This window comes from Homo sapiens, chromosome 1 (assembly GCF_000001405.40).
Source record: "Homo sapiens chromosome 1, GRCh38.p14 Primary Assembly".
NCBI classification, from domain to species: domain Eukaryota; kingdom Metazoa; phylum Chordata; class Mammalia; order Primates; family Hominidae; genus Homo; species Homo sapiens.
The window spans coordinates 166,304,682-166,328,956 of record NC_000001.11 but is presented as its reverse complement, the minus strand read 5'-3'; the positions used below and the strand labels follow the sequence as shown (position 1 = coordinate 166,328,956).

Genomic DNA, 24,275 nt, shown 5'->3' with positions numbered 1-24,275 from the left:
TGGATGTGGTTATAAAAGGGCAACTTGAGGGTTTCTTGTGATGATGGAATTTTTCTGTACCTAAATATAAGCACAGTGCAGGTAAAACTTGAGGAATCTGTAAAAAGGAAAAGAAGAAGAAGGGGAGGGATGCTGGGGGAGAACTCGCAGTCTCCACCACAAGTGTGTTATTGTTCTGGTGCAGAGATAAGAAAGGAATATTCTTATCACTCTGACTTCTTTTTTGCTCAGCTCTTCTTCTGAACTTGCTAGGTGGCAGAGAATAATACTAGCATGTGACAGCAAGTATCACCCCTTCCCACCCTCCCAAAAAAGGAGAAAAGATGAGAACTGCAGCTTTTTCTTTGTTAATGAAATAAGGAATTTTTATTATCCCATAAGAATTCCCCCATGAAAAGATTAGAGAATTAGAAATAAGAGCACCCCCACCCCTCATTACCAGGTAACAAAATAATAAGCTGAACACTTGAGGGCTTTAACAGAGCAAATAACAATGAGGTTGCTTTCCTTTTTGTAAAACTGGGGTGCATGAATCATTTAAATTGCAAGAGGGGTTCTTGGAAGTGGCAAACAAACTCTTTTAATCATCTGAACAAGAATCACATAATAATGCGTGGTACAGAAGGAATTACAATCTGGTTGACCAGGCTGAAAAAGTACCTTGTGTTCTTGGAATGTGGGCTAGTACCAGTTTGCCCCAGGGCAGCCTTTACTGCCCAGAAACGGTCATTAAACTGTCCATTTGTTGTCGTGCGCATTAATGCAGAGTGTTTTCTCTTTTATGCCAATATGAAGTTTCTTGTCCTAGGCTCCCTATAGGGGGTGTCAAGGGTTTTGACTGAGACGAGCATAGGTGCTAGATCCGTTCCAGAAGCCTGAACACAGCTGCTAAATTGGGGCTGGAGGTGGCAGAGGTGGACTCTGCAGGCTCTTGAATGGTACTTTCCTCTGCTCCATGGCTCCTTTCCCCATGCCAACATACCATCCACTATGTACCATACCTCTCCAGATTAGAGAATTCTCCTCTCTCTTTAATGAGGGTGGATTTATCCTTGAGTGGACCTGGGAATAAGACTCCAACTCCAGGGCCGAAACAAGGGATGGTTTTTTTTAAGTCCCACCTTATCATGCATTCCACAAGTATTTATCAAATATCAACGATGTGGCAGGCAGGCATCATGAGGATGGGATTAGGCTGGGATTAAATAAATCCCAAAGTGACCCTGACAGCTAACATCACAGGTTCTCTGACCTTCATGTCACCAGAGCCTGTGAGAGCCTGAGGGTAGCTGATCACAACTGTGGACAGTGTGAGCAAGTTTGAGCCTTGTATGGGTTCTGCATCCCTTGTTACTGTGTTATTTTTTAGTGGGATTCACTTAGAAAATACTGCTATACATCATTTGCATTGCCGACTATTATTTGTCTAAGTCAGTGATTTCAAAGTTTATTGTATCTCAGAATCACCTGGAGGGCTATTTAAAACACCGTTTCTGATTCAGGAGCTCTGGGAAGGGGCCAGAGAATTCACATTTCTGACAAGTTCCCAGCTGCTGCCGTTGTCTGGGGACCAGCTTTGCAAACCACTTAAAACCATCTTCCCAAGAGTTTCTGCTACTCTTTACCTCACTCTTAGCCATATATGATACAATGTTTGGTGAGGAAGAACTTGATTTTTCCTAAATTCAGCAACTCAGCATTGCTTCTCCGTGTAGGTGGAGCCAGCATGTCCTTTCCACACAGAACTGTATTACAGAAAAATCTCTTCTGGAATCACCCCTCTTGATTATGTAACTCTAAAACCAGGAGGAAGCAATGAAAATGTCTTTGGGGCTTGATGTCTCTCCTAGGTCCTCTTGGTGTGCAGAGCTCTGGGTGGGAATGAATCTTAATAAGAAGCATGGGGGTCTGTTGGTGGGAAGGGACCCCGTATAACCCCCACCTATAAGTAGTTTTCAATTGCTACAGAAAAAATTACCCAAAATTTAGCTTAAAACAACTCCTGTTGACTATCTCATGGTTTCTACATGTAGGTTAGCAGTCCAGACATGACTGAGCTAGGTTCTCTGTGAAGAGGCTGAAATCAAGGTATTGGCCAGGCTGCATTCCTTTCTGGGGTTCCAAGTCCTCTTCCAAACTCACATGATTGTTCACAGAATTCAGTTTCTTGAGGTTGGAGGACTAATGTCCTCATTCTCTTGCTAAATCTCTAATTCTCTTGCTAAATCTCTGCTCTCAGCTTCTAGTAGTGACCTGCAGTTTCATTCCATGTCCCTGTCTTTCCCACAGGGCCTCTCATACTCGAAACTATTCTTCCTCCTTAAGGTAGCAGGGGACTATCTCTCTGACTTCTTTTAAAGCCTCCTCTAATGAAGTCAGACCCCTCCAAGAAACTCTTCCTTTTGATTAACTTAGTCAACTGGTTCATAACCTGCTCATGGGAGAGCTATCCCATCATATTTGCAGAGTCCAGCCACCCTCAAGGAGAAGGGATAATAAGGGAATTGATCTGGGCGAGGGTAGGGTGGACAGTCATGGGGAAGGTGAGGCTTGAGGGCCATCTTAGAGCCCTGACCAGGATACCACCCTTTCCCCTGAAATTGAACATTACTAGATCACATTGGGGTGAATTAGAGTCATTCTGGTCAAGGTCAAACTGATGAGCAAGGACACCAAGGGAACAAAAAGCACTCCCATAAGGAGAAGGAGTTGGAAATGGTGACCTGGGCTCATATGAAGGTTTAAAGTCTCCTGAGATGGGGATCTTCTGAGTCAGCAACTGGCTAAGTACTGTACTATGACTTATTTGGGAACAATGACCAAGAAAAGCACACTAGTGAGGCTAGAGAGGTGAGCAGGGCCCAGATGCTGGAGAGTCATATATGTCCTGAAGGTAACTGGGAGTCATTCATGACTAGGCAAGCAGTGGCATGATCAGCCTTGTGTTTTAGATGATCACTTTGGCTGCAGCTTGAGGAATTGATTGGATAGCAGCAAAATTGGAGGATTATGAAGTCTTCAGTAATCATTCAGATGAGGTGGCCTAAACCAGGACACAAAAATGAGGATGGGAGTTAAGGACACTCAGCATGGTTTGGTATTGGAGAGTCGATGAATGCCAATGCCTCTGCCCTTATTAAGGCCACATCATCTCTCCACTTGACTTTATTAACAGCTCACTCCATTCCTTGTATAATAAGCTCTGTTGTGAATAAAACCAGATTCAAACCTCAGGGTCTGGCACTCAAGGCTCTTTGTGCCCTGGCCTTGCCACTTTCACCAGCTTCAACTTCTGCACAAAGTAACTATGGGGTTACTTTGAATATCTTACAAATCTCTGAACAGGTAAGATCATATCCTCTCAGCCTAGAAAATTGCCAGCCGGCTGCGGTGGCTCATGCCTGTAATCCCAGCACTTTGGGAGGCCAAGGCGGGTGGATCACGAGGTCAGGAGATCAAGACCAGCCTGGCCAACATGGTGAAACCCCGTTTCTACTAAAAATACACAAATTAGCCGGTCTTGGTGGTGCGTGCCTGTAATCCCAGCTACTTGGGAGGCTGAAGCAGGAGAATCACTTGAACCCGGGAGGCAGAGGTTGCAGTGAGCCGAGATCACGCCACTGTGCACTCCAGCCTGGGCAAAAGAGCGAGACTCCGTCTCAAAAAAAAAAAAAAAGAAGAAGAAGAAAATTGCCAGAAAAACTCGTACTCATCCCTCAAGACACAGCCCAAATGCCCTATCCTCATTCTATAACTCTGTAGTTGGCTGGATGATGCCCCCTAAAGATATTGAGGTGCTAATTTTCAGTACCTGTGAATGTCACCTTTATGCTAAAAAGAGACTTTGCTGATGTGATTTGAGTCGAGGATCTTGAGATGGGAAGATTAGCCTAGATCAGATGGGCCTTAAATGTAATTAAAGACTTCTTATAAGAGAGAACAAGGGAATATATGACTATGGGAGAAGTAGGCATATGATGACATAAGCAAGAGGCTGGAGGGGTGCAAGGAAAGGGTCACGAGCCAAGGAAGACAGGTAGTCTTCCAGAGGCTAAAAAAGGCAAAGAAACAGATTCTCCTCTAGTGCCTTCAGAAGGAACCAGCCCTGCTGGCACTTTGACTTTAACCTAGAGAAACTAATTTCAGAGCTTGGCTTCCAGAACTGTAAGGAAATAGATTTGTGTTGTTTTAAGCCACTAAATATCCAAAAATGTGTTACAGCAGCAATAGAAAACTAATATGAACTCCTTCAGTAGTCACTCTCAAAACCTTTTATTTGTATTTCTAATGAAGTACTACCACAGGGTCTAATTACTGGTTTATAAGTCTGTCTTTCCCACTAGACTGTGACTTCCTAAAGTGTAGGGATTGTGTCGTTCATCCTTATATTCTCAGTGCTCTGCACAGTGCTTGGCATATAGTAGGTCTTCAGTAACTGTTTGAGGGAAGAAAGAGATGGAGATGGAAGGAACGAATCAAAGTAAGAAAACTGTTCTATAGAGCACCTTTCCATCATTTTGTACCCCTGTCATCCTTTGTTCATTCCTTTCTATAGGGTTTTATAGCTTCTTTCTGATCCACGGTGTATTAGTTTGCTTTGCGTTGTTATAAAGGAATACCTGAGACTGGGTAGTTTATAAAGAAAATAGTTTTATTTGGCTCATGGTTCTGCAGGCTGTACAAGCATGGCACCAGCATCTGCTCAGCTTCTGGTGAAGCTTCAGGAAGCTTTTACCCATGGCAGAAGCCACAGGGAAGGCAGGCATGTCACATGGAAAAAGAGGGAGCAAGAAAGATTGCCAGGCTCTTTTAAACAACCAGCATGAACTCATGGAGTGAGAATTCACTCACTACTGCAGGGAGGGCACCAAGACATTCATGAGGGATCCACCTGCATGACCCAAACACCTCCTACTAGGCCCACCTCCAACGTTGGGGATCACATTTCAACATGAGATTTGGAGGGGAAGAACATTCAAACCACATCACATGGATATTTAACCATCCCACACATTTAGACTAGGGTATTAGGAACCGAAGAGGAGTGAGAGGAAATCTGGCCAATACTTACTCTTCAAGGAAACTAATAATAGAGTTAATTACCAAATGTCCCCTGGGGAACAAAATTATCCCCAGTTGAGAAGCGCTGTTCTTGAGGTACACTTCCTTCAGGCTATAGGAAATCTATACCACAATAGAACCTCTGTGAAAGCCCACATCCACATAGTTGCTAGATGTGGTGCCCCTAGCATGGTTTCTTCTAGTGGGATTTGACAGCCCAATTTTCATTTCCCAGGTCCAGTGCAGCCTCACCATTTAACAAAACCACTCCTTCCAAAGAATTACTAAAAAGGTGTTAGCTGCAGTGAAATCCAGGCTTAAGGCCACACCCTTAGCTGCAATGGAATATTTCCTAAGTCTTCATCAGCAGCACACGGACAAAACACTTCTCAGGGTGGGCCCCCCCACCGTCTTGATCAAGTGCTTCTACTGCTTGCTGAGTCTCCTTGATTTGTCTCTTAGAAGCTGACCTCCTCTGCCACATTCTTGAGACACCTCACTGCAGGCGCAGACTCCAGTGTTTTGTTTCTGAGCTGAATCTGATGAGTGAAGTATTCACAATGACCATGCAAACAAGTCTGCCATTCTGTACCCGCCATTGGAGATGGTGGTGGGAGATCTTACATTGTTGTGTGCTGAAGCATAAGCATTATCTATTTTATATAGGTTAATACTGAGACATTGGGAAGGCATTATTTTGGCATTGGCTTTCTCTAAGGTGAAACAGGTCCAGATGAGGCGAATTATGAAATTAGATGTGGAAGGGATCCCTAGGCATTTTGTCAGGATGGGTCTGCAGGTGGGAAGTGATGAGCTCTGCAGAAAGACGCTAAATGAAAACTAGAGTTTGCAACCAAATAGAATTAGATAGTCTCCTGGACCAACAGAAAGCTGTGGTCAGCTGAGCAGTAGCCAAAGACATCAGGAAATGGAATATCAGTCTCAGAATTTAGAAGCCAAAAATAGAGGGAGTGAGCTGAGGATGCCTCAACTGTTTTGCAGGTCAGAAGTGACTTTAAAACAAAATCTGAAAGCTAAAAACTACCCTCAGAAGCACATAGTTTTTCATTCTCCACAACTACCCAGTAGACAGGCATCATTATATTTCTTTTATATCATTCCTTTTAGCTTCCTTTGAGCATGAACGTATTCAACAACTGTTGATGGGTACTTTTTAACTGAACCATGATGCAAACATAAAAGAGTATTTAGTAATAAAGAAACTGAGACTCAGGCTCATTTGCAGACCAAGGCACGAAGCCAGGACTCAACTCAAACTCTGGCCCTATGGCTCTAAGTCCATTTTTCCTTTCTGCACAAATTAACGATAATTACATGTATTCCTTTGGCTATATTTTGGCTCTCCTTTTCAAATTATGCCATCCTAAATCTTTTTACTGGAGCTATTAGTAATAAAATGAGTATATTTCATTTTTCATTCTTTTCCTTTGCCTAAGGAGAAGCAAAAGTCATGGGTTCAAAAAGAATTAGGCAAGAGTTCACTGAATGATCAGGAACTGGATTTCCCCAGAAGACCTACCAATTTACAACACCAGGTTAAAACACCTAAGCTTTAATTTAAAGAGCTTCAAGGTAAGCACCAGCACAAATCTGGTCAAATGAAGCACTGGTGAGCAAAGTGCCGTACGAATAGGGACATCTGGCTTTGCATGAGTAGGGACAGCTGGCTCTGTATAAGTAGGAACAGCCAGCACTCTGGAAGGAGAATGGCTACCTTGGGGAAGTGAAATATGAGTTTGATCCCAGTTTTGCCCCTTCCAAGCCATGTGACTTTTCTCAGCCTATTTTTTTTAATCTTCGAAACTGAGCTAACAATATTTACTTCAAAGGATTGTGATGAGGATTACATGAAAAAATAATGGGGACCTTAGATTTCTGATCTGGCATATAAGGGGCTTAGGAGTCATTACTCCATCCTAACAACAAGTAAAAGCCTTAATAAACTAAAAAACAAACAAAAATAAGTCTTATTAATCAAAAAAGTAAGGTCACAAGGCAAACCATTGTCCCCCCAAATTGGAGAGGCAGATAGGCAAATATAGAAAATCACAACTTATCAGGGCAGAAATCCACAAAGAGAAACCTCTCTGGGAACCAGTGCCAGGGGAGGGAAACCAGAACTGTAACTGACAAATTGCTGGAGGCCCAGTGTAGACATATCTGAGAAATAAAACTCCAGAGATAGGTGGGGACCATTCACAGTGGGATCCTGACAATTTTGTGAGTTTCACCTCTAAGAGTTCTACTAGGTTCTCACTGTGAAGATCATGGGGAAAAATTCTCTCATTCTACTGGCAGGGAAAGGAGGAAAATAGCCATTTTGAAATATGCCAGAGCATTCTGTTCTTAGTGAAGCCTGCCCTCAAAAAAATACTATTTACCACAGCCTAACCTATTAGGGTTTAATTAGAAGCCAGCTGATCTGGGGAAAGGGAAATACATAACTCCAGCCCGTTGTAGCCATTCTTTCCCACAAAAGGACAGGGAAAATCTGAGAAGCATTTGTGAAGTTCACAGTCCAGGAGCCTAGGCCCTCTAAAAGACTGAGACCTAATCATAAGACCATAAAATGCTTCCCTTCCCGCACACCTTACCACTATATTACCAAAGGCCTATTTACTGTAATTTCCCTTACCCTGTACATCATAACCAACTATCAAAAAATTACAAGGTATACTAAAAGGCAAAAACACAACTTGAAGAAACTAAATAAGCATCAGAACCAGAGTCTGACATGGCAGGAATGTTGGAATTATCATAAGAGAAATATTTTAAAATTTGTGGTAAGTATGCTAAGGTTCACATGAAAAAAGTAGAATCATGAATAGATGGATAATGTAAGCAGAGAGACAGAAATTCTGAGAAAGAATTTAAAAAGAAATGCTACAGAACAAAAACACTGTGACAGAAATGAAGAATGCCTTTGATGTGCTTATTACTAGACTGGAGACAACTGAGGAGAGAATCTCTGAGGTTGCAGGCACACCAACAGAAACTTTCAAAAGTGAAAAGCAAACAGAAAAAAGGCTGAAAATGGAATTGAATATCCAAGAACTGTAAGAAAACTATAAAATGTGTTTAAAAAAAAACATTTAATGGGAATACCAGAAGGAGAAGAAAAAGAGAAAGAAACAGATGCAATATTTGAAGCAATAATGACAGGAAATTTCTTCAAATTAATGTCAGACACCAAACCACAGACCCAGAAATCTCACAGAACACCAAGCAGGATAAATATCAAAAAATAAAATAAAAAAATAAACAAACTTCACCTATAATATCATAATTAATCTGCAGAAAATCAAAGATAAAGAAGAAAAATCTTGAAAGAAGCTAGAGAGAAAAAAATACCTTACCTATAGATAAGAATTATGTTGAACTTTCCATCAGAAACCATGTATGCGAGAAAATGAAGAAAAACATTTAGTGCTGAGAGAAAAAAAATCAGCAACCTAGAACTTTGTATCTTAGGGAATTATCCTTCAAAGGTAGGAAAAAATAAAGACTTTCTCAGACAAAAACTGAGGAAATTTGTGGCCATTAGACCTGTCTTGCAAGAAATGTTAAAAGAAGTTATTCACAGAGAAGAAAAATGATAGAGGTCAGAAACTTGAATTTACATAAAGAAATGAAGAGTATTGTAGAAGGAATAGTGAAGGTGAAATAAAAACTTTTATTTTTTCATATTCTTAATTGATCTAACAGATAATAGTTTGATCAAAATAATAATTGCAACAATGTATTTGATGACTATAGCTTATGTATAAGTGAAATGAACAGCAATGCTAAAAGGCATGGAAGAGCAGAATCAGCAATTTTTCTTTTCTTTTTCTGTTTTTTCTTTTTTCTTTTTTCTTTTTTTTCTTTTTTCAGATGGAGTCTCACTCTGTCGCCCAGGCTAGAGTGCAGTGGCACGATCTTGGCTCACTGCAAGCTCTGACTCCCGGGTTCATGCCATTCTCCTGCCTCAGCCTCCCGAGTAGCTGGGACTACAGGAACCTGCCACCACGCCCGGCTAATTTTTTTTGTATTTTTAGTAGAGATGGGGTTTCAACGTGTTAGCCAGGATGGTCTCGATCTCCTGACCTCGTGATCCACCCGCCTCGGCCTCCCAAAGTGCTGGGATTACAGGCATGAGCCACCGCGCTCAGCCAGCAATTTTTCATTATTGTAAGGTATTGTACAACCTGTGAAGCGATACAATGTCATTTGAAAGTGAAATTTGATTTGTTGTAAATGCATATTGCAAACTGTAGGGCAACCACTAAAAAATGTAAAAGGAAGTATGATTAATATGCTAAGAAAGGAGAAAAAATCATATAAGTGCTCATATAAAATTATAAAAAATGTTCAATTAAAACCACAAAGTGCAGAAAAAGGGTGGAAAATTAAAAGTAGGAAAAAATTAAAAGGGCAATAGAAAATAGTTATGAATATGGTAAATATTAATCCAGCTATATCAATAATTTCTTTAAACACCAATGATTTAAATACATCAATTAAAAGACAGAGATTGTCAGAGTGGATTAAAAAAGTCAAGACCCAACTATGAGATATCTACAGGAAACCCACTATAAATATAATGACACATATAAATTAAAAGTAAAGGGATGGAGAAGAATATGCCACATTAATAGTAATCAAAATAGAGATGGAGTAGCTATAAAGTCAATATAAAATCAGTCAGAGCAGACTTCAGAGCAAGGAAAGTTAACAAGAATAGAGGTGCGTTACATAATGATGAAAAGGTCATTTCTCCAGGAAGACATAATAAACCTTCAGGTATATGCATATAACAATGAAACATCAAAATGCATTAGGTAAAAACTGATAAAAATGCAAAGAGAAATAGATGAATCCCCTATTATATCTGGAGACTTAAAAATCCTTGTACCAGAAATGGACAGGTCCAATAAACAGGAAATCAGTAAGAACATAGCTGAACTCAACAGTTCCATGAATTGGCTGGATATAATTGTCATCTGTAGACTACCTTATCCAACAACAGTAGAGTACACATTCTTACCAAGCTCACATGGAACATACATCAAGATGCACCACATTCTGGGACATAAAACACACCTTAACAAATTTAAAAGAATACAGTTTATATAATATCTACTCTCAGATCATCATGATCTATGATTGAATTAAACTAAAAATCAGTAACAAAAAGATGGGTGGAAAATTCCAAAACACTTGGAGACTAAGTAGCACACTTCTAAATAACACATGGGTCAAAGAAGAAATTTTCAAGAGAAATTTAAAAATATTTTGAACTGGCTGGGCGTGGTGGCTCATGCCTGTAATCCCAGCACTTTGGGAGGCCAAGATGGGCAGATCACGAGGTCAGGAGATTGAGACCATCCTGGCTAACATGGTGAAACCCCGTCTCTACTAAAAATACAAAAAAATTAGCCGGGCATGGTGGCAGGCGCCTGTAGTCCCAGCTACTCGGGAGGCTGAGGCAGAAGAATGGTATGAACCCGGGAGGCGGAGCTTGCAGTGAGCTGAGATAGTACCACTGCACTCCAGCCTAGTGGACTGAGTGAAACTCCATCTCCAAAAAAAGAAAAAAAATAATAATAATAAATATATATATATATATATAGATGTATATTTTGAACTAAATAAAAGTGAAAATACAACTTAATAAAATTTGTAAGAATTAAATTTGTAAAAAAATTAAATGCTATACATTTAATATGCATTAAATTGAATTAAAGAAAAAACAAAGATCAAAAATCAATAACCTGATCTTCCACCTCAAGAAATTAGAATGAGGAGAGTAAATTAAACACAAAGTAAACAGAAAAAAAGAAATAATAAAAACCAAGGCAAAAGAATCAATTAAATTGAAAACAAGAAATCAATAGAGAAAAATCAATGAAACCAAAAGCTGGTTCTTAGAAAAGGTCAATAAAATTGATAAGCCTCTAGCCAGGCTAAGAAAAAAGGGGAAATGACACAAATTACTAATACCAGAAATGAAAGAGGGAACATAACTACAGCTCTAATAGACATTAAAATGATAATAAAGGAAAATTAGGAACAATACCATACTCACAAATTTGATAACCTACATAAAATGGGCCAATTCTGTGGAAGAAACAATCTGCCAAAACTCACACAAGAATAAATTAAAAACTTAAATAGGCCTGTATCTATTAAAGAAACAATCAATATCTGATAACCTTTCAAAAAAGAAGACACTAGGTCTAGATAGGTTCACTGGTGAATCCTATCAAACATCTAAGGAAGAAAATACACCAATTCTCTGCAGTATCTACCAGAAGATAGAATCAGAAGGAATATTTCCTAACTCATTCTATGAGGCTAGCAAAACCTAATACCAAAACCAAAGACAGTACAAGAAAAGAAAACTATAGACCAATATCCTTTATGAAAATAAAAATAAAAATTATCAACATAATATTAGCAAATGGAATCCAACAATGAATAAAAAGAATTATGCAATGAAACTAGTGGGACTTATTCCAGGTATGCAAGTCTTGTTCCATATTTAAAAGTCAATTAATTTATTTATCACAGGCTAAAGAGGAAAAATCACAAATCATATCAGTAGATGCAGAAAAAGCAATGACAAAAATCCAACATCAACTCACGAAAAAAGAAAAAATGCTCAGCAAATTAGGAATAGAGGGAAATTTACTCAATTTGATTAAGAACATCAATTAAAAAATATAGAGTTAACATAATATTTAATGGTGACACTAGAAGCTTTCACACTAAGATCAGGAGGAAGGCAAGATGCCCCCTCTAAACACTCTTTCAACATCATACTGTAAGTTTTAGTAATGCAATAAGACAAGAAAATAAAATGGTAGGTGGAGCCAAGATAGCCAAATAGGAAAAGCTCCAGTCTACAGCTCCCAGCATGAGTGATGCAGAAGACGAATGATTTCTGCATTTCCAACTGAGGTACCGGGTTCATCTCACTGGGGATTGTCAGACACTGGGTGCAGGACAGTGGGGGCAGCACACTGAGCATGAGCCAAAGCAGGGCAAGGCATCGCCTCACCCGGGAAGTGCAAGGGGTCAGGGAATTCCCTTTCCTAGCCAAGGAAAGGGGTGACAGACGGCACCTGGAAAATTGGGTGACTCTCAACCTAATACTGCAATTTTCCAATGGTCTTAGCAAATGGCACACAGGAGATTGTATCCCATGCCTGGCTCAGAGGGTCCTACGCCCACGGAGCCTCACTCATTGCTAGCACAGCAGTCTGAGATCAAACTGCAAGGTGGCAGTGAGGCTGGGGGAGGGGCGCCTGCCATTGCTGAGGCCTGAGCAGATAAACAAAGAGGCCAGGAAGCTCTAAATGGGTGGAGCCCACCACAGCTCAAGGATCCTGCCTGCCTCTGTAGACTTCACCTATGGGGGCAGGGCATAGCCAAACAAAAGGCAGCCGAAACCTCTGCAGACTTAAATGTCCCTGTCTGACAGTTTGGAAGACAGTAGTGGTTTTCCCAACACTCAGCTTGAGATCTGAGAACGGACAGACTGCCTCCTTAAGTGGGTCCCTGACCCCTGAGTAGCCTAACTGGGAGACACACCCCAGTAGGGGCAGACTGAAACCTCACATGGCTGGGTACCTCTCTGAGACAAAACTTCCAGAGGAACAATCAGGCAGCAACATTTGCAGTTCACCAATATTCGCTGTTCTGCAGCCTCCTCTGCTGATTCTCAGGCAAACAGGGTCTGGAGTGGGCCTTCAGCAAACTCCAACAGACCTGCAGCTGAGGGTCCTGACTGTTAGAAGGCAAACTAACAAACAGAAAGGACATCCACACCAAAACCCCATCTGTACGTCACCATCATCAAAGACAAAAGGCAGATAAAACCACAAAGGTGGGGAAAAAAAAGAGCAGGAAAACTGAAAATTCTAAAAATCAGAGCACCTCTCCTCCTCCAAAGGAATGCAGCTCCTCACCAGCAATGAAACAAAGCTAGATGGAGAATGATTTTGACGAGCTGAGAGAGGAAGGCTTCAGATGATCAAACTACTCCAAGCTAAAGGAGGAAGATTGAACAATGGCAAAGAAGTTAAAAACCTTGAAAAAAGATTAGACAAATGGCTAACTAGAATAACCAATGCACAGAAGTCCTTAAAGGACCTGATGGAGCTGAAAACCATGGCACGAGAACTACATGATGAATGAACAAGCCTCAGTAGCTGATTCCATCAGCTGGAAGAAAGGGTATCAGTGACGGAAGATCAAATGAATGAAATGAAGCAAGAAGAGAAGTTTAGAGAAAAAAGAATAAAAAGAAACGAACAAAGCCTCCAAGAAATATGGGACAAGGTAAAAACACCAAATCTATGTCTGACTGGTGTACCTGAAAGTGATGGGGAGAATGGAACCAAGTTGGAAAAAAATCTGCAGGATATTATCCAGGAGAACTTCCCCAATCTAGCAAGGCAGGCCAACATTCAGATTCAGGAAATACAGAGAACACCACAAAGATACTCTTCGAGAAGAGCAACTCCAAGACACATAATTGTCAGATTCACCAAAGTTGAAATGAAGGAAAACATGTTAAGGGCAGCCAGAGAGAAAGGTCAGGTTACACACAGAGGGAAGCCCATTAGACCAACAGCTGATCTCTTGGCAGAAACTCTATAAGCCAGAAGAGAGTGGGGGCCAATATTCAACATTCTTAAAGAAAATAATTTTCAACCCACAATTTCATATCCAGCCAAACTAAGCTTCATAAGTGAAGGAGAAATAAAATACTTTACAGATAAGCAAATGCGAGAGATTTTTGTCACCACCAGGCCTGCCCTACAGGAGCTCCTGAAGGAAGCACTAAACATGGGAAGGAACAACTGGTACCAGCCACTGCAAAAACATGCCAAATTGTAAAGACCATCGAGGCTAGGAAGAAACTGCATCAACTAACAAGCAAAATAACCAGCTAACATCATCATGACTGGATCAAATTCACACATAACAATATTAACCTTAAATGTTGATGGGCTAAATGCTCCAGTTAAAAGACACAGACTGGCAAATTGGATTAAGAGTCAAAACCCATCAGTGTGCTGTATTCAGGAAACCCTTCTCACATGCAGAGACACACATAGGCTCAAAATAAAGGGATGGAGGAAGATCTACCAAGCAAATGGAAAACAAAAAAAGGCAGGGGTTGCAATCCTAGTCTCTGATAAAACAGACTTTAAACCAACAAAGATCAAAAGAGACAAAGAAGGCCATTACATAATGGTAAAGGGATCAATTCAACAAGAAGAGCTAACTATCCTAAATATATATGCACCCAATACAGGAGCACCCGGATTCATAAAGCAAGTCCTTAGACACCTACAAAGAGGCTTAGACTCCCACACAATAATCACGGGAGACTTTAACACCGCACTGTCAACATTAGACAGATTAACGAGACAGAAAGTTTACAAGGATATCCAGGAATTGAACTCAGCTCTGCACCAAGCGGACCTAATAGACATCTACAGAACTCTCCACCCCAAATCAACAGAATATACATTCTTTTCAGCACCACACCACACCTATTCCAAAATTGACCACATAGTTGGAAGTAAAGCACTCCTCAGCAAATGTAAAAGAACAGAAATTATAACAAACTGTCTCTCAGACCACAGTGCAATCAAACTAGAACTCAGGATTAAGAAACTCACTCAAAACCGCTCAACTACATGGAAACTGAACAACCTGCTCCTGAATGACTACTGGGTACATAATGAAAAGAACGCAGAAATAAAGATGTTCTTTGAAACCAATGAGAACAAAGACACAACATACCAGAATCTCTAGGACACATTCAAAGCAGTGTGTAGAGGGAAATTTATAGCACTAAATGCCCACAAGAGAAAGCAGAAAAGATCTAAAATTAATACCCGAACATCACAATTAGAAGAACTAGAGAAGCAAGAGCAAACACATTCAAAAGCTAGCAGAAGGCAACAAATAACCAAGATCAGAGCAGAACTGAAGGAAATAGAGATACAAAAAACCCTACAAAAAATCAATGAATCCAGGAGCTGGTTTTTTGAAACGATCAACAAAATTGATAGACCGCTAGCAAGACTAATAAAGAAGAAAAGAGAGAAGAATCAAATAGACACAATAAAAAATGATAAAGGGGATATCACCACCAATCCCACAGAAATACAAACTACCATCAGAGAATACTATAAACACCCTTATGCAAATAAACTAGAAAATCTAGAAGAAATGGATAAATTTCTCGACACATACACCCTCCCAAGACTAAACCAGGAAGAAGTTGAATCTCTGAATAGACCAATAACAGGCTCTGAAATTGAGGCAATAATTAATAGCTTACCAACCAAAAAAAGTCCAGGACCAGACAGATTCACAGCCGAATTCTACCAGAGGTACAAGGAGGAGATGGTACCATTCCTTCTGAAACTATTCCAATCAACAGAAAAAGAGGGAGTCCTCCCTAACTCATTTTATGAGGCCAGCATCATCCTGATACCAAAGCCTGGCAGAGACACAACAAAAAAACAGAATTTTAGACCAATATCCCTGGCGAACATCGATGCAAAATCCTCAATAAAATACTGGCAAACTGAATCCACCAGCACATCAAAAAGCTTATCCACCATGATCAAGTGGGCTTCATCCCTGGGATGCAAGGCTGGTTCAACATACGCAAATCAACAACTGTAATCCAACATATAAGCAGAACCAACGACAAAAACCACATGATTATCTCAACAGATGCGGAAAAGGCCTTTGACAAAATTCAACAACGCTTCATGCTAAAAACTCTCAATAAATTAGGTATTGATGGGACATATCTCAAAATAATAAGAGCTATCTATGACAAACCCACAGCCAATATCATACTGAATAGGCAAAAACTGGAAGCATTCCCTTTGAAAACTGGCACAAGACAGGGATGCCCTCTCTCACCACTCCTATTCAACATAATGTTAGAAGTTCTGGCCAGGGCAATCAGGCAGGAGAAGGAAATAAATGGTATTCGATTAGGAAAAGAGGAAGTCAAATTGTCCCTGTTTGTAGATGACATGATTGTATATCTAGAAAACCCCATCGTCTCAGCCCAAAATCTCCTTAAGCTGATAGGCAACTTCAGCAAAGTCTCATGATACAAAATCAATGTGCAAAAATCACAAGCATTCTTATACACCAATAACAGACAAACAGAGAGCTAAATCATGAGTGAACTCCCATTCACAATTGCTTCAAAGAGAATCAAATACTTACGAATCCAACTTACAAGGGATGTGAAGGACCTCTTCAAGAACTACAAACCACTGCTCAATGAAATAAAAGAGGATACAAACAAATGGAATGCTCATGGGTAGGAAGAATCAATATCATGAAAATGGCCATACTGCCCAAGGTAATTTATAGATTCAATGCCATCCCCATCAAGTTACCAATGACTTTCTTCACAGAATTGGAAAAACTACTTTAAAGTTCATATGGAACAGAAAAGAGCCCGCATTGCCAAGTCAATCCTAAGCCAAAAGAACAAAGCTGGAGGTATCATGCTACCTGACTTTAAACTATACTACAAGGCTACAGTAACCAAAACATCATGGTACTGGTACCAAAACAGCGATATCGACCAACGGAACAGAACAGACCAAGCAGAAATAATGCCACATATCTACAGCTATCTGATATTTGACAATCCTGACTAAAACAAGAAATGGGGAAAGGATTCTGTATTTAATAAATGGTGCTGGGAAAACTGGCTAGCCATAGGTAGAAAGCTGAAACTGGATCTCTTCCTTACACCTTATACAAAAATTAATTCAAGATGGATTATTCAAGATGGATTACAGACTTAAATGTTAGACCTAAAACCATAAAAACCCTAGAAGAAAACCTAGGCGATACCATTCAGGACATAGGCATGGGCAAGGACTTCATGTCTAAAACACTAAAAGCAATGACAACAAAAGCCAAAATTGACAAATGGGATCTAATTAAACTAAAGAGCTTCTGCACAGCAAAAGAAACTACCATCAGAGTGAACAGGCAACCTACAGAATGGCAGAAAATTTTTGCAATCTACTCATCTGACAAAGGGCTAGTATCCAGAATCTACAATGAACTCAAACAAATTTACAAGAAAAAAATCAAACAACCCCATCAAAAAGTGGGCAAAGGATATGAACAGACACTTCTCAAAAGAAGATATTTATGCAGCCAAAAGACATGTGAAAAAATGCTCATCATCTCTGGCTATCAGAGAAATGCTAATCAAAACCAGAGTTAGATACCATCTCACACCAGTTAGAATGGTGATCATTAAAAAGTCAGGAAACAACAGGTGCTGGAGAGGATGTGGAGAAATAGGAACACTTTTACACTGTTGGTGGGACTGTAAACTAGTTCAACCATTGTGGAAGTCAGTGTGGCGATTCCTCAGGGATCTAGAACTAGAAATACCATTTGACCCAGCCATCCCATTACTGGGTATATACCCAAAGGATTATAAATCATGCTGCTATAAAGACACATGCACACGTATGTTTATTGCGGCACTATTCACAATAGCAAAGACTTGGAACCAACCCAAATGTCCAACAATGATAGACTGGATTAAGAAAATGTGGCACATATACACCATGGAATACTATGCAGCCATAACAAATGATGAGTTCATGTCCTTTGTAGGGACATGGATGAAGCTGGAAACCATCATTCTCAGCAAACTATTGCAAGGACAAAAAACCAAACACCGCATGTTCTCACTCATAGGTGGGAATTGAACAATGAGAACACATGGACACAGGAAGGGGAACATCACACACTGGGGCCTACTGTGGGGTAGGGGGAGGGGGGAGGGATAGCATTAGGAGATATAACTAATGTTAAATGATGAGTTAATGGGTGCAGCACACCAACATAGCACATGTATACATATGCAACAAACCTGCACGTTGTGCACATGTACCCTAAAACTTAAAGTATAATTAAAATAAAAGAAAATAAAATAAATGGTATACATATTGGGGTGGAAGAAATAAAACTATCTTTATTTGTAGATGACATGATTGTCTATGTAGAAAATCCTAAAGGATCAACAACAATAAGAAGAAAAATCTCCTGGAACTAATAAAAGATTATAGCAAGGTTGCAGGATACAAAGTTAATATACAAAATTCAATCACTTTCCTATATGCCAACAAATGGAAGTTTAAATTAGAAACACATTACCATTTACATTAGCATTCCCCCAAATAAAATACTTATATATAATCTGAGATATATACTTCTGTATATATCTAAAAATATATGTATAAGATTTATACGAGGAAAACTACAAAACTGTGATGAAAGAAATCAAAGACCTACATACATGGAGAGATATTCTATATTCATGGAGAGGAAGATAAAATATTGTTAAAGCATCAGTTCTTTCCCACTTGATCTATAGATTCAACACAATCCTAAACAAAATCTCAGCAAGTTATTTTGTGGATATCAACAATTATGTTCTAAACTTTATATAGAGATGCTAAAGACCCAGAACAGCCAACGCAATATAGAAGAACAAAGTCAGAGGACTGACACTCTGAACTCCAAGACCTACTAAAAAGCTACAGTAATCAAGACAGTGTGATATTGGTCCAAGAATAGACAAATATATCAATGAAACATAATAGAAAAGCTAGAAATAAGTGCACATAAACATGGTCAACTGATGTTTAACAAAGGAGCAAAGGCAATACATGGATAAAAGATAGTCTTTTCAACAAATGGTGCTGGAACAATTACACATCCAAATGCAAAAAAAAAAAAAAAAAAAGAAGAAGAAGAATTTAGCCACACCTTATACCACTCAAAAAAAGCTTTTCCTGCATTTAACTCAAAATGGATCACAGACATGAATGTAAAATGCAAAACCATAAAACACTTACAAGATAGCATAGAAGAAAACCTAGATGACCCTAGATGTGGTGATGATTTTTTAGGTCCAACACCAAGCCACAGTCCATGAAAGAGATAATTGATAAGCTGGACTTCATTAAAATTAAAAACTTCTGCTTTGCAAAAGATATTGTCAGGAGAATGAGAAGACAAGCCACAGACTGGGAGAAAATATTTGCAAAAGACATATCTGATAAAGTGCTGTTATCCAAAATATACAAAGCTCTCTTAAAACTCAACAATAAGAAAACCAACATCTTGATTAAAAAATAGGCAAAAGGCCTGAATAGATACCTTGCCAATGAAGATATACAGGTGGCAAATAAGCATATGAAAAGATGCCCAAAATCATATGTAATTGGAGCAACAACGCAAATTAAAGCAACAATGAGATACCACCTACTAGAATGACAAAATCTACAACCCTGACAATACCAAATGTTGTGAGGATACAGAGCAACAGGAACTTTCATTCAGTGCTGATGGGAATGAAAAATGGTACAGCCACTTTGGAAAACAATTTAGCAATTTCTTGCAAAATTAAATATACTTACCATATAATCTGACAGTCATGATCATTGATATTTACTCAAATGAATTAAAAACATATGTTCACACAAAAATCTGCTCATAGATATTAATAGTAGCTTTATTCGTGATTGCCAAAACTTGTAACCAACCAAAATGTCATTCAGTAGGTGAATGGTTAAATAAACTATGGTGCATCCAAACAATGATATATTATTCAGAAGTTTTTAAAAAAGCTATCAAGCCATGAAAACACATGGATAAAATTTAAATGCATATTACTAAGTGAAGGAAGCCAATCTGGAAAGGCTATGTGCTGTATGATTCAAACAATATGACATTCTAAAAAAGGCAGAAAGGATCAGTTGTTGTCAGGTGTTGAGGGGAGGGAAGAATGAGTAGCAGGAGCACGGAGGATTTTTAAAGCAGTAAAAGAATTCTGCTTGATATTATAATGGCAGTTACATGTAATTATATACCTGTCAAATCTGTAGAATGTACAACACCAAGAGTGAACTCTAATAAAAACTATGGACTTATGTGATAATAATGGGTCAATGTAGGTTCATTTTTGTAAAAAATGTACCACTGTGGTGTGGGATATTGGTAGTAGGGGAAGCTGTGTATACATGGGGACGAAGAGGGTTACAGGCTCTGGACCTTCCAGTTGGTTTTGCTGTGAACCTAAAACTGCTATAAAAATAGTCTTCAAAATAATAATATGAAGAGTAATAATAATAATAATAATAATAGCCAACATTCATGGAGGGGTGGCTTTATGCCAACCATTGTGCTCATGAGTTTGATAATAATCACTGCCAGTATTTGATTAAGTCTTTACTAAGCGCCAGATTATACTAAGTATATTAAACACATATCTCATTTATTCCTCTCCAAAATACTGAAGGGGAGGTCTTACTTCCCTCATTTCACAGAAGAGTCTTGTCCAAGGTCATGATGGAGCCAGTGCACAATCACAATTAGTTTCCTTCCTTTCTTCCATCTGCTGAAAGTCTAAGGCAGGTCTGCTTCTAGACCACAGCAACCAGACCAGAAGTGAAGGTAAGATTCTTTAAACCAAGCATGACCTGGGGTGTTCAAAAGGCCTCTAGTATGAACCCAGAACTCTATAAAGCCGGCAGGCAGAGCAAAGATAGGCAAACCACCTTTGTAAAAGACATCACTTCTCTGCCATGAGAAGAATAAGCCTTCATACAGGAATGGATTTCACTAATAAAAGGCAGATGCCCGAGAAGCACTTTTTGTTCCAATGCTTGATGCCAGCCACAGTCCCAAAAGATGATTAGAATAGAAACACTTCATTGCTGATCAGGTGGGTCTGGTTGGTGAGATTCCCAGCTGTCATATTAGAACATACCAACGTGATAATCACCAGGCCACAGCGGCCACGGTTGACTGGCTCCGCTGCTGGCTCATTCACAACAGTGTCAGACACAGCTTTTCCCTGGAAATTCCCTCCACAAGCCCAGTGTTTCCCCAAGACCCATTCAATCAACTGCTTAATCAATTACTCCGGTGATGTTTTAAATGCCTGAGAGAAACTTGAATGTAAAAGAATAACATTGCCCCTCTGCTCTCAAAGACACTTTCATCAATCAAAGTCTCCCCCAGAGCTGGTAAGGGGCAGGAGAGGGTGTCAACCCCCTCCAGATTCCATGGCCACTACATAATGGAGGAGAGAGATTATAATCCTACAGAATCCAAAATCTGGATGCTGTTAGGCAGGCAGAGGAGGGGCAGGATGCTAGTTAGCAATCAGCAAATGCCCACCACGGAGGGTCTCTGGATTCACTGAGCCTCTCCATTAACTAGATCACCAGGGAAAAGAAGGACATAGATGCCTTGAGAAACCACAGATGTCAAATACAGTCATATATATTACCTCACTTCATTCTCTCCTCAGCCTTGTAAATTAGGTTTAATTTTATCAATTGGCAGGCAACAGGAGGTCGGAGGATTTAAGTATCTTTCTCACGTTGATAGAGGCAGTAGGTACTTAAGCCTAGATTTGAAGCCAAGTCTATTTGGCTTCAAAGTTCTTGCTCATTTTACTGAATTGTTACCTCCCTCAAAAGGCAATGACAAATTTTTTACTGGATTCTGGGACTCAACAGTTAGTGAATAGGAATAGAGAAGCAAATTCTGAGACATGAGCATTGGGAATCAGGGAGAGGTGAGAAGGCAAGGCAGTTAAGTGATTAAGTGTAATGACACTGACAGAGAATACAAGTCCCCTGAGTAGGGAATCTCCATACATTAGTGCATTATAATGGAAATTTAGTTGGGACTATGCCATCCAAAATAAAATTTACATTTCTCTGCATTATATGTGGCCACATGTGGTCATGGAACTAATCTCAGGACAATAAGATGTATACAGAATGCCAAATGGAAGTTTCCAGAAACCTTCCCCAAAGACAGGTGAAATGTCTTTTCCCTTCTTCATCTCTTCCTCTTTGCAGAATGGTTAGGGAACATGATGACTGCAGCTTGAGCAGCCATCTTGGACTACCAGGTAATGGGTGAATAAAGGCCACACACAAGATGAAGAGATACAAGGAGCCCGGGTTCCAAGGACCTCAGGAAGCAAAGCCACCAAACCACCTCTGGACAGCCTAATCTGATCATAGCTGATACACTAATTATAAGAATTTGAATAAATTTCTGAAACACCCTGAATCTCAGTTTTCTCCTCTGTAAACGGGCATAATAATGAGGACAGTAATTGCTAATTTCATGGGTGGTTGTGTGTACTAATTTAGGGAACAGGTTAATTGTGCTGATTAAACAGGTATTTAGTAAGAAACAACCATAAGGACTATCACTAGCTCTCTTTCTACAAGTCAATCTTGGGTACCCTAATTGTTTGGCAATGAGAGGAGAATTTCCTCAGGTGGGATGGCTGCTGGACGCCATATTTCTCCTGCCTCAGCCTCCTACGTGCCACCATGCCTGGCTAATTTTTGTATTTTTAGTACAGATGGAGTTTGCCCATGTTGGCCAGGCTGGTCTCGAACTCCTGACCTCAAGTGATCCACCCACCTTGGCCTCCCAAAGTGTTGGGATTACAGGTGTGAGCCACCGTGCCCTCCCTGTTCACTGTCTTTTGAGATAGGTCTTCAGGTCTCAGCTCCTGTTCATCAGTGGCCACACCACAAGAGGGTCATCTCTTTAGTCTATTTCCCTTCCCTAACCTTCCCCTGATGACCTTCCTTTCTATTTTCCTGAGAAAAGAGAAGCCACCAGAAAAGCACATCCACAAACTTTCACCTCTGCATCTACCCCACTACCTGCATCTAGGCCAGTATGCTCTGCCTTGACTCCTGTTACCATGGATGTATTTTCTGTCCTGCCATTCAAGGTCAACCCCTACTCCAGAACCCATCTCCTTCAGGCCAAAGAAATGACCATTCTGTCTCCTACTCCTCTATTTGTCCTCTACTTCCTCATTTTCATCAGCACACAAATATGCTATCTGATCTTGAAAAAAAATCTCTTGTCCACATGTGGCCCTCCAGGTATTTCCCCACTTCTTTGCTCCTCTTCAGAACACCTGAGTAGTCTATACTTACTGCTATCTTCAAATCTTCTCCTCTTATTTTCTCTGGAGATTCTCCAATTAGAATGTGGTTTAACTAGAAACCTCAAATTATTAAATCCAAAGGTCAATTACCCATTCTTATCTTGCTTGACCCATGAGCAACATTTAACACAGAGGAACAAGCCCTTCACCTGGAAGCACTGTCTTAGAATATTGCCCTCTCCTGATAGTGCCCAGCTTGACCAGCTGCTCACTCTCACCTTCCCTTGCTGACAACTCCTTGTCTCCTTGCCCTCTAACTGTGGAGTACCTCAGGACTCATTCATCAGCGTTCTTCTATTCCATGTCTGAATTTACTCTTGTTAAGAACTCATCCACTCTCGTGGCAAAAAAAAAAAAAAACCAAAAAACTATTTATACACATACAGACAATGCCCATCTTTCTAACTATCTTCTGCAGTTCATTCTGCCTTGTTTACCTCTCCTTCCAGCCTCTGCTGAAAGGTCACCTTCCCAGTGAGGCCTTACCTGACCATGCTTACTTAAAGCTACAACCTACTCCTATCCCAGAAGGGTACTCCCTTTCTCCCTCCTCTTTTATGTTCTGTCATAACATTTTTAATTTTCTAATATATGGTATAATTTATCTTGTGTTTTCCAATGCTGGAATATAAGTTTCATGAGAGGAGGAAATTTTGCCTGTTCTGTACTGCTAATTCTCAGTACTTAGAATTGTGCCAGGCACATCGTAAGTGCTCAATCAATACTATGAAAAGGATGAGTGAGTAAATGTCCTTAGAGGAGCTATTATAATATTAAGAGGTAGAAAAATCATAATTGTAAACAGTCATTTTCACAAAAAATTGGTTGACCTAACTATACATCTGTTTATTCTCACCTCTAAGACAGGTCTCACACCTCGCAGTTGTATTGTACTTTTAGCTTTCAAAGCACTTTCACAAATATTCCCTACAGAATCCTGTGAGCCAGGTATCTGAGCTCCATAGGGGTCAAGGAGATACAAGTATGATAGGCAGAATCCTCCCCGACCCCAAAGGCCATGTTCCAATCCTCAGGAACTGTGAACATGTTACATCAAATGACAAAAGGGACTTGCAGATGTTATTAAGGTTACAAACCTTATGACACGGATGGTAGCCTAGAT

The 24,275-nt window shown here is 39.8% G+C and overlaps 1 long non-coding RNA gene across 1 annotated transcript in view, besides 1 other annotated feature; it reads right to left on the bottom strand.

Moving 5' to 3' along the window:
* LOC112268276 (uncharacterized) overlaps positions 1-24,275 on the bottom strand; it is a 175,024-nt gene that overhangs the window by 11,944 nt on the left and 138,805 nt on the right. The window lies entirely within an intron of this gene.
* Positions 21,452-22,128: an enhancer, noted in NCBI's record as "NANOG hESC enhancer chr1:166276066-166276742 (GRCh37/hg19 assembly coordinates)". NCBI's record gives its function as "activates a minimal SCP1, AML or CMV promoter by ChIP-STARR-seq in primed H9 embryonic stem cells {active_cell/tissue: H9 hESC(primed)}" and the evidence as "EXISTENCE:reporter gene assay evidence [ECO:0000049][PMID:30033119]".